General features: G+C 45.8%; 1 protein-coding gene, 1 non-coding gene and 1 pseudogene across 3 annotated transcripts in view, besides 1 other annotated feature; 1 reads left to right on the top strand and 2 right to left on the bottom strand.

The window, feature by feature from the left end:
- The window catches only part of LYPD6 (LY6/PLAUR domain containing 6), a 156394-nt gene extending 155158 nt beyond the window's left edge, over nucleotides 1–1236 (bottom strand). The window contains exon 1 of one of the 2 annotated variants that reach the window (NM_001195685.2): nucleotides 1019–1236. The gene's annotated coding sequence lies outside the window, so the exon portion shown is untranslated. Of the gene's footprint in view, nucleotides 1–498; nucleotides 635–1018 lie in introns of those variants that run through there. The other variant, NM_194317.5, reaches the window with a different exon arrangement.
- Nucleotides 548–1017: a silencer, noted in NCBI's record as "silent region_12004". NCBI's record gives its function as "represses an Ori minimal core promoter by ATAC-STARR-seq in GM12878 lymphoblastoid cells {active_cell/tissue: GM12878}" and the evidence as "EXISTENCE:reporter gene assay evidence [ECO:0000049][PMID:35858748]".
- On the top strand, nucleotides 848–943 carry MIR9899 (microRNA 9899). The gene has a single exon (NR_162091.1). It is a non-coding gene; the product is annotated as a microRNA 9899 (primary transcript).
- Nucleotides 9339–11012, bottom strand: FAM8A3P (family with sequence similarity 8 member A3, pseudogene; annotated as a pseudogene).

Below are 11492 nucleotides of genomic sequence, written 5' to 3'. Positions count from 1 at the left end.
GAGGTACCTCCAGCACACTGCACCTCCCTTAGAGGCTCCGGGTGGCCGCAGCCGGGCTACCGCCACTGCCCCCCGCCCCGCAGCAACATGTGGGGTGCTGCCAGTCCGCCGCCCAGGAACTCCCTCCGGCTGGAGTTCCTGGTGGACGCATGTTGGGCCGTGAGAAGATGCTGAATTACTCCTGGGAAAGGTTCCTCCAGCCTTGAACTTGGCAGCTCCTGACCTTTCCATCCCACCCTCCACGCGCCAGCCCAACACACACGAGTACACACGCCCCTCTGGACCCGTCCAGGCTACTCGCGGGGCTCTCTGCCCACTAGGGGCAAAACGCCGGAGGCCGGGACCCCAGTTCCTCTGGCCCCAGGGGACTGCCCTAGCATCGGGTAGTTCCAGGGACTCAGCGCACTCCCTGCCTTGGCCAGGCCCCGCCTAAGCCGGGGCCGCTGGCACCAATCCCCTGTTCTTTTGTGCTCTCCCGGGAAGCCCGCCTCTACTCACCCGGGCTGCGCGCGGATTCCGGCCGCCAGCTGCAGCCCGCTGCCCCATCCCACGAACACTGCGGCGCCCCCAGAGTGTGCAATGCGGCGCCCCGCCAGCCCGCTGCCGGAGCCCGGGAGCTCAGGGAAGGAGCGAGGGAGCGCAGCGGGGAGAGGCGGGGGGCGGCTAGGGGCGCGCGCGCCACTCCCACTCGCGCCGGGCACTGGCCGCCGCCCGCAGCCGCGGCCGGCCCGGCCTCGAGGGCCGCGGGACCAATCAGCGCGCGCGGGGGGAGCGGAGCCCTCCGCGGGGCGCGCTCATTGGCCCGGCGCGCGCGGCCCAACTCCGGGAGAATCGGCCTGAGCGCCAAGTCTGCAAACTCCGGCCAGCGGGAGCCGACCGCCCGGCGCAGGTGGGGCACCCGGGCGCCGCGCTCCCGCCCGCAGGGTGAGCGGAACTGGAGAGATTTGGGACCTTCCCGGGAAGCCTGTTCCCAGTGAGCGTTGGAAGCGAGCAGTGTTTGCTCAGGGTGCACCGATACCTTCCTGTGCGCGACCCCCTGGCGCCTCTCCCTAGCCGCCAGCCTCAGCCGGGCCAGCAGCTGCGTGCGTGGCTGCAGGCCCGGCAGTGTGAAATGACCCTGGCCAAATCTCACTCCCCGCCATCCCCTGGGCCCCGCGAAATCCGCCGGACCGCAGAGCTCAAGAGCAAGTGAAGCTCCGAACCCAGGGAAGGCGGAGACCACTTGACGTTTGCAGTAAAAGACCTAAGCTGCGGGGCGGAGCATGGAGGCGGTGGGAAGAGCCAGGAAGGCAGGTCTTAGGAAGTGGGAATCCGGTTATGGGTTTGGTGCAAAAAAGTCCAGGGCATAATACTGCCACCCTCTGCCCAACCCTTCCTCCAGTTAAAGCCCCTGCAGCCCTCTTGGGACGTATTGGTTTTTCTCTTCCTTGTTGTAAATCGTGTTTGACCCCCCTGGACGGTTCGATCTAGAGCCTTAGAGTGGAAGTGGGTCATAGTCCTACTCTCCCCTGAGCAGCGCGGGGGGCCGGCGGGGAGCCGGGGTGACCGGGGAAGGTCCCCAGGAAGGTCTGGAAGGACTCCACGGATATGCCCGGAAACTCGGAACCAGCCTCCCCACCTCCCCCCGAACTTGGCCTGCAAGGCTACCTTCGTAAGGGCGGCCCGCCATGTGGCTATTTGTCGATCTTTGAGACCCCTCCACCTTCTCCTTGGATTTTCTACCCCTGGAGCATTTTTTCAGGCCTCTCCTGAATCACCCTGCCTTCCCAATAATCTATCCATCCCAACATAAAAACATTCTTACTCTTTTTTAAATTAAACTTCCTTCCCCAGTCCCTCTATTTGGAAGGGCCTAGGATAACCTATTTTTGATCGACAGCTGCTAGACCTCAGAAAGTTTTTCTCTTAGTGTATGTGCACAGGCTTGCCCAAGCTCAGGGTTCAAGTAGGCAAAAAATAATTAGCGCCCCCTCAAGGTGGAGATCGCTGCCGCGCTGTCTTCCTGCAGGGCTCAGCAGGGTGAATGAATTGAATATGAATTAATCAACCTGAACTTGGAAATGTCTCTCCGTGTCTAGGCAGGTTACCTCTGCGGGTTAGCATCTACTAATGAGGGCATGTCCCGGGTGTCACTGCTGACACTCATTTAGTTTCCAGTTGGCAGTTCCGGTCCATGTACTTATTCACTTTATTTAAAAAAAATCGGTGCATAGTTTAGTGAAAATATTCATATTTGGGTTCAAAGTGAAGTTCAACGTATTAATGCAGTTTATGAGAGCCGAGTTCCTGGTAGAGATGGAACCCTTAGGATCTCTTTTCAGAAATATATTTTCAAAGAAGGCTGGAAAGATATGCATATGAAATGTCTGCAGTGGTTATCTCTGCGTGTTGGGATAATGGATGGTTTTCTTGTTCTTTATACTTTACGGTATTTTCTAAAGAACATTAATATTAATTTAAAAATTTTTTTAAAATGTTGACTACCAACATACAACACTCCTCAGGCATCAGAAGAGCGAAAATGTTAAATCTTCCTTCTGCTTTTCCCTTCACATCTTGTCAATCGCCCAGTCCTGTGTTTCTGTCTCCTAGGATGACTTCTAGATCCATCCCTCCCAGCATCTCTATTTCACTGCCAGACCTCATCATGCCTTACCAGCGCTTCAGCAACAGGCTTTCACTGCTCTGCTCTCCAGTCGACCACACGCTGCCCTCTCTATTTCAGAATCACTAATGTAATCATGTCACTTTCAAGCTTAAAATTCTTCAGTTCCAACCCCACTGTGAGGAAGTTCAAATGGAGCCTGGTTGGCAAGGCGTTTCCTTCCCAGTCCGTTCCCAGCTTTCCACGTTGGTCTCATCTTCTGTCCTCACAGTTCCGCAGGCAGGATGGTTCTGCTCCACCTACAACTGCCTGTCCGTGGACCTTCACACACCCATGTCTAAGATTTCATAGTGCTAGAATGCTGTGCTTCTCTTCCTTCTCAACTCTCTCCTGCCCCAACAGCAAGTTCCTATCTTTGCTTCAAGATTCACTTCGAATACCACCTTTTTAAAAATCAAGTCTTCGAAACTGCCCGGGGCAGAATTAAGCAACGCCTTCTTTCTGTACATCAGAAGCAAGCTTTTTTTTTTTTTTTTTTTTTTTTTTTTGACGGAGTCTCACTCTGCTGCCCAGGCTGGAGCAAAGTGACGCGATGAAGAAAACATACATTGTATTTACACTCCTGGAGTGCACGAAGAGAGAGACGCACTTTATTTATTTATTTATTTTAAGCCCTCTCCTTCTCACCCCTGCCCAACATGGCTGAGTGCCATCCTCTGTTTCACCCCTGCTGAGTCTGCCAGCTCACATTTACCATAGGTGGTCTCACCCTGCACCTTCCCAACCTGCCCAGCTCTCACTACAGATCTGTTTATTGATTATTTTTTGTTGTTATTGTTTCATGTTTTTGTTTTTGAGACAGTCTCACTCTGTCACCCAGGCTGGAGTGCAGTGGCACAATCTTGGCTCACTGCAACCTCTGCCTTCCAGGTTCCAGTGATTCTCATGTCTCAGCCTCCTGAGTTGTTGATGCCCAGCTAATTTTTTTATTTTTAGTAGAGATGGGGTTTCACCATTTTGGCCAGGCTGGTCTTGAACTCCTGACCTCAGGTAATCTGCCCATCCTGGCCTCCCAAAGTGCTAGGATTACAGGCATGAGCCACCATGCCCAGCCTTGTTTATTGATTATTTTAAAAGCAGCCCTTTCTGATTTTTTAAATTAATGTATATTTTTATTTCAATAGCTCTGGAAGTACGAGTGGTTTTTGGCATGGGTGAATTGTATAGTGGTGAAGTCAGATTGTAGTGCACCCATCACCTGAGTAGGAGAGAAAGACTTTAGATCAAATAGTCACATGAACAATTTCATACTGAGATAGGCATGATGACACTACCACATGTAAAAAAAAGAAACCTGGTTCATTTTGAATATATGTCAATCACAGTTCTTACCACATTGTGTTATCCATTGATCTATTTATTGCAAGTTCTTTGTCCCATCATATGAATCCATATGCCCCCACGTAGAACACAGTGCCTGGTTTATAGTGGGTGCTCAGTAAATATTCTAAAATGAATGGGTAAATAAATGAATGGGTATTTGAAACCCCATGAGGCATTTTATTTCATGTGTCTACATGCAACTATTATCCAAAATCGAAAAGACATTAGTTCCGTGTTTTAAAAATTATTAGATCCTTGTCTCATCTTTCTTAACTTTAATTTGTTTTTTCTGCACAAATTGTCTAATGTCTTATTTAATTTCACATTTAGGAGATATAGGTAATTATTATTTACATACATGTAGATAATCTGCTATTGCTAGGAGGAAATCTTTTTTTAGAAATTTTACTTTTAATATATAAAAATTGAAGGTTGAAAATGCAAAGCCAAAAAGCACAATACATAACAAAAAGTAAATCAATTGGGCTTTCTAAAAGTTAAAACATTTTCTCTGCAAACAACACGGTTACGAGAATGAAAAGACAAGAATAGACAGGGAGACAATAGTTGCAAATCATACACCTGACACAGGAATTGTAGTTAATACATACAAAGAACTCTCAAAACTCAGCAATAAGAAAACAACCAAATTTTTTTCAATGGCCAAAAGATTTGAACAAACACTTTACCAAAGAAGATATATGGGTGACAAATAGCACATGAAATGATACTCATATCATTAGTCTTTAGTGAAATGCTAATTAAAACTGCAATGATAACTTCTAGACACTTATTAGAATGGCAAAAAAAAAAAACCTGACAATACCAAGTGTTGATGAGGCTGCAGAGCAACTGAAACTCTCATACCACACTGGTGAGGGTGCAAAATGGTATGTCCGCACTAAAAATAGTTTGGCCACTTTTATAAAGTTCAATATACACCTAACCATATAGCCCAATAATCCTACTCCTACATACAGACATACATTGTTTTATTTCACTTCACTTCATTGCATTTCAAAGATACTGCATTTTTTTTTTTTACAAATTGAAGGTTTGAAGTAACTCTGCATTGAACAAATCTATCAGTGCCATTTTCCCAAAAACATGTGCTCACTTTGTGTCTCTGTGTCACATTTTAGTAATTCTCACAATATTTCAAGCTTTTTCATTATTATTATATTCATTATGGTGACCTGTGATCAGTGATCTTTGTTGTTACTATTGTAATTGTTTTGGGGGGCCATGGACCGTGTCCAGATAAGACAGCAAACTTAATTGATAAATGTGTGTGTTCTGACTGTTACACCAACAAGCCATTCTCCATCTCTCTTTCCTCCAGCCTCCCCATTCCCTGAGGTGCAACAGTATTGAAAATAGACCATTAATAACCCTACAAGTCCCTCTAAGTGAAAGTTGTATGTTTCCCACTTTAAATCAAAAGCTAAAAATGATTAAGCTTAGTGAAGAAGGTGAAGGTGTCAAAAGCTGAAATAGGCCAAAGCTAGGCCTCTTGTACCAGTTAGCCAGAGTGTAAATGTAAAGGAAAAGTCCTTGAAGGAAATTAAAAATGCTACTCCAGTGAATATAAGAATAAGAAAGCAAAACAGTCTTGTTGCTGATATGGAGAAAGTTTCAGTGGTTCAGATTAAAGATAGCTAAAACATTCCCCCGAGCAGAAGCCTAATCCAGAGCAAGACCCTAACTCTCTTCACTTCTATGAAGGCCGAGAGAGGTGAAGAAGCTGCAGGAGAAAAAAAAATTGGAAGCTAATAGAGGTTGGTTTATGAAGTTGAAGGAAAGAAGCCATGCCCCTAACATGAAAGCATAAGGTGAAACAGCAAGTGCTGATGGAGAAGCTGCGGCAAGTTATCCAGAATATCTAGCTAAGATCATTGATGAAAGTGGCTACACTAAACAATGGATTTTCAATATAGACAAAGCAGCCTTCCATGGGAAGAAGATGCCATCTAGTAATTTCATAGCTAGAGAGAAGTCAATGCCTGACTTTAAAGCTTCACAAAACAGGCCGACTCTCTTGTTAGGGGCTGACGCAGCTAGTGAAGCTACCCCACTTACCATTCCAAAAATCCTAGGGCCCTTCAGAATTATACTAAATCTACTCTGTATATGCTGTTTAAATAGAACAACAAAGTCTATATGACAGCACATCTGTTTACAGAATAGTTTGCTGAATATTGTAAGCCCACTGTTGAGACCTACTGCTTAGAAAAAAAAAAGATTTATTTCAAAAATACTACTACTTATTGACAATTCATCTAGTCATCTCAGAGCTCTGATGAAAATGTACAAGGAGATTCATGTGTTTCCTTGCCTGATAACACAACATCAATTCTGCAGCTCATAGAGCAGGGAGTCATTGTTGGGGTGATAAGACCTAACACCAGGTCTTGAGGGCAATGAAGTCCAGCAGAGTCAAAGGAATGAGAAAAAGTATGAGAGAGAAAGTAAGACCAGGGGGCCATCGCAAGTGTGGAGGCTGCAAAGGCCCTCGAGCTCTGGGAGCCCACGCTATTTATTGATGCTCAAACAGGTGGTGAGGATGTGGGGGTTGAAAGGAAACAGTGTATCAAGTGAATGAAAAACATGGCTGCTTGAGATAATGGGAGTGCTAGAAGCAAGGAGCCAACACGTCTAGCAGACATGCAAGCCCTGCCTCAGCTTCTCTCCCAACACTCAGCTTTTCTCCCAACATGGCCCCCATCTCTTTTTTGTAAAAACCACCACAGCTATCATTATTATTAGCATAAGGTGGCCTCTTTTTTAAATTAATTGAGCAACGCAATTGCAGGCTGTACAGCCCTTATTTGCCGGTTGGTGATCCAGCTTTATTTTTCTTAGCCCTTATTCAAAATGGAGTTGCTCTGGTTTGAATGCTTCCCACGTATCTCCCCTTTCCCTTTTACAAGAGGACCCTTAATCCTAGGGGTTGCAGAAGGATGAAGGTCCATCTTCTGTAACTTCTTCATGCTGAATAGGGGCGATCCTACCTATTAGGGTCTCTTGTATTCAGGGTAGAGAGGAGTTCAGTCAGAAAGCACTGGTCCGTTAAGCAACTATAGGTAAAACCTTGGCACTCCAGCAGTTTCTCAGCATGGCTCATACTGGGGGAACCCAGTCCATGGTTGGGATCCATGGGTCCTTCCAGTCTCCTGTTCCATGGTCGTACACATCTTGAGGGCACCTACATGTTTTGCTTATCTCCTGCAAAACCACAAGCCTACCCTCACTGCCACGTTAGTAAATCTACTGAAACAGAAGCAAAAACTTTTGTGGCTGCAGCCAGGAGGCATGCCATTGCTGAAGCATTTGTAACTCAGCTTCTGCCTCTTTGGTTAATTAGCATGGGGTAAAACTTACCATTGATAACAAGAAGCAGGCCCCTTCTAACAGAAGGCACAGAGAAAGCAAATCGAGGCTTAAAAGCAATCCTTCAGCCTTCAATTTGCACTGTACAGGTGGGTCCACTAGATGCTGTGGCTCATGATAGATCTTTAGATGTTTGGTGGGCACCCACACAGGTACCTGATTGTCACCTGGAGAGACACAAGCAAATCCTCTTCCCCATAAGATTATTTTCCTTTTTCCTAGCTCTTTGTATGTGCATCCCTCCACCATATATCTTGTCCAGCCTTTTTATTTTCCTTTTGCCCTGTCAAATGTTGTTCAGCTGCAGTCATGGGTTGATCTTTTTGTAAGTTAAAAAAATTTAATGTTAATAAAGTTAAATGCAATTGTATATGTGGTGTCTTATATTCCTGGTCCCCTCCCTTTTGCTTTTTGTATTTGAGTTTTTAAAGTACAATTAGCTCTTTCCACTATTGCTTGTCCTTGTGAGTTATGTGGAATACCCGTAGTATGGGCAATATTCCATTGTTGAAAAAATGTAGCCATGGCTTTATTGAAAGGGAGTAGAAGTTTGGATTTTATCGAGGGCTATAATTAACCCTGCTGCATTTACAGCCTTTTCTAACAGTTTGTAGCACAACATCAGTTCTTCCCTAGTTTCAGCTGCACACAGAATATCATCCATGGAATGGATGATACAACATTTTTTAAACTGTTCTCTAACTGGCTTAATAGCTTTCCCGACATAAGTTTGACAAATAGTCTGACTATTTAGCATGCCTTGTGGTAGTACTTTCCAATGGTATCTGTCTGCTGGTTCTTTATTATTTATGGCGGGAACAGTAAAAACAAATTTCTCATAATCTTGGGCAGCTAAAGGAATGGTAAAAAAGCAATCCTTTAGATCTATCACTATGAGAGGCCAGTATTTGGGGATCATTGTTGGGGAGGGCAGCCCTGGTTGCAGTGCGCCCATGGGTTGAATCACAGCATTAACAGCCCTTAAATCTGTTAACGTTTTCCATTTCCCTGATTTTTTCTTAATGACAAATACAGGAGAATTCCAAGGGGAGAAAGTAGGCTCTATATGTCCCTTTTGCAATTGTTCCTGTACCAGTTCTTTTAAAGCCTCCAGTTTTTCCTGTTTCAGCAGCCATTGCTCCACCCAAACTGGTTTGGCAGTTAGCCAGACAAGAGAAATGGGAGCCAGAGGCTCAACGATGGCCGCTTCTAAAAATGACACCCCAATCTGGTCCGATCTATTTGCCCTTTTAATTCTAAAGGTTCTGATTGGCCATTTTTATCTTTTCCTAGTCCTATTCCCAGGTGATATCCCATATTTTTCATCATTTGTCTACTACGATTACTATATTGATCCGTAGGAATAGGTATTTCAGCATCCCATTGTTACAATGAGTCTCTACCCCATAAATGGACAGGAATAGGTGTAATGATAGGCTGAATTGTCCCTTCCTGACCATCCAGCCCTTGACATGGTAAAATCAAAGAACTCTGAAGGCAGCTCCTACTCCAACAATACCAATGGATGCCTTTTGCTTAGGCCAGTGCCAGGGCCATTGATTTACAGCAATAATAGAGACATCAGCTCCAGTATCTTCTACTCCTTCAAAATCTTTTCCCTGAATAGTTACTGTGCAAATAGGTCTTTTGTCAGATACTTGATTAACCCAGTGCACGGCCCTTCATGCTGGATTAGTATTACCAAAGCCTCCTGTTCTTTTCACTGTGCTGCTTCCTAGTTTTATGTAAGGTAACAGCAACAACTGAGCAATTCTTTTTCTTGGGGAGGCAGATCAAGGAGTCGAGGAACTAATAACTAATTGAATCTCTCCAGTATAATCAGAGTCAATTATTCCTGTATGTACAGTAACATCTTTTAAATTTAGACCTTCCAAGTAATAGACTGACTGTTCCTGAGGGTAAGGGTCCCCTAGCTCCCATGGGGACCTTCTTTGGTGGCTCCCCAGGAAGTGTGAACTAAAAGATGAGTTACATACATGTTTACAAAACACAACTGGACATTTTCCATTGTTTTGGGATAAACCAAAATCAATTTTAAAGTTTCATTTGGAGATTTCAAAGCTGAAAATGCTTTCAGCAAATTCTTAGATCTTATGAAAGTACCTTAGATCTTAAGAAAGTATATATTGTTCATTGTTTATAAAATCATTTGCCTTTTTGATCTAAAAATTTTAATACTTGAATTTAATAGGTTTTTCTTCTGGAAAAGTTTTTGGCATTCAAGTACAATCAAAACTTTCAGAGTAGTCAGCTGCATCACACTGGAGTGATTGCTTTAATTTCTAAATCATCAGTTAGTGGAACCCAGGGATACTGATGGCCTTGATACATAATTTAGTCTTGTCATTATAGCGTGTGGAAATCAGGTCTTTGGGGGGGCATCTCTGACCCCATTTCTTTTTACCACAATGGTTCCTGCTACAATGTCATAGGCTGTTCGATTATGTTGAAGAAACAACAGTGTGATAAAAGCAGGGAAAAAAGAAGCAATCAAAAAATTCTTGATCAAAGCTCGTATAGTGGACGTTGTAATGCTAACATTTGAAAAAGGAATCACTAAAACACGACTTAGTGCAATAAGCACTAATGTATCACATGTCACAACTCGAAGCCCCACCAGGAGCTTCCCTGGGGTAGCTCCACCTGCTCCCCAAATGAAAATTATCTCATAAAAACAAACTAATAATCTGTATATAAGAGCCATAACCATCATTTTCAGCAAGTCTTCCGTTGATGTGTCCTCATCTATTTCTTCCATTATATAATGCATAGCAAACTTAGAGATATCCTTTATCCCACTGAGGTGCATAATGCTTAAGACAATGGTTGCTTTTACAAAGAAGATAATAAAGAAATCCACCATCCTTGCCACCCGTGGCCCAAGGATGGAATAACTTATTCTTTGCCTGCCGGTTGCCCGGTCTCACTCTGGCTTCGGGAAGGGGCTGCAGATCCTACCTTTGTCACTGGAGTGGCCCGGATTGACGCCTGCACATGAGGAACCCAGGGTCCCAGGCCCGTGACTGTAGCAGGGGTGCTGATGCCAGCAGCTGCCCCCGGGTCAAGCCCCCGCGGCCCTGGGGCTCAGGAAGTAGAAGGGGTTGTAATAGCCCAGCCGTGGGGATGGCGGCGCCGCGGCCTGGGGGACGGCAGTGCCTCCAAAGAGAAGCTCTGCCGGGACGGTTGGGGGCTACAGCAGTCGGGGAGTGTAGCCGGGCCACTGCGCCAGGTGAGGTAGCCGCAGCAGGACTGCCACAGTCACTCGTGCACTCGCCAGGAGCACCCAAGGGCGCTCAGCCGCGCCGGCCTCTCCCACGGCGCCGCAGCTTCCGACACTTCAAGCAGCCTACCTGCTCCTGCAGCCCCGCAAGGGAGCCCGAGGTCGCCTCCCGGCTCCTCCTGAGCCCGCGGGGTGGCTCCGACCCATCAGCGGCGGTGGCCTGGGGGCCGGCGCGGGGGCATGGGATGGCGGCAGGAGGGCCCCTCAGGGAAGGGACGGGCTCCTGGTCCCCTCCGCCCTCGTCATGCCCCAGAGGACAGCCTCGGACTTCCTTGGGCCCCTCTGCTATCATCGCCTCAGCAGCACCCTCCGTGGTACCCGTCACTGCTCTGTCTTTATACACCTTTTTAAAAAAAAATCTCTTCCAATTCACAATTGCTTCAAAGAGAATAAAATACTTAGGAATCCAACTTACAAGGGACGTGAAGGACCTCTTCAAGGAGAACTACAAACCACTGCTCAATGAAATAAAAGAGGATACAAACAAATGGAAGAACATTCCATGCTCATGAGTAGGAAGAATCGATATCATGAAAATGGCCATACTGCCCAAGGTAATTTATAGATTCAATGCCGTCCCCATCAAGCTACCAATGACTTTCTTCACAGAATTGGAAAAAACTACTTTAAAGTTCATATGGAACCAAAAAAGAGCCCGCATTGCCAAATCAATCCTAAGCCAAAAGAACAAAGCTGGAGGCATCACACTACCTGACTTCAAACTATACTACAAGGCTACAGTAACCAAAACAGCATGGTACTGGTACCAAAACAGAGATATAGACCAAGGGAACAGAACAGAGCCCTCAGAAA

The sequence above is a fragment of the Homo sapiens genome, chromosome 2 (genome assembly GCF_000001405.40).
Source record: "Homo sapiens chromosome 2, GRCh38.p14 Primary Assembly".
Taxonomy (NCBI): Eukaryota; Metazoa; Chordata; class Mammalia; order Primates; family Hominidae; genus Homo; species Homo sapiens.
This window is presented reverse-complemented; position numbering and strand designations above follow the sequence as displayed.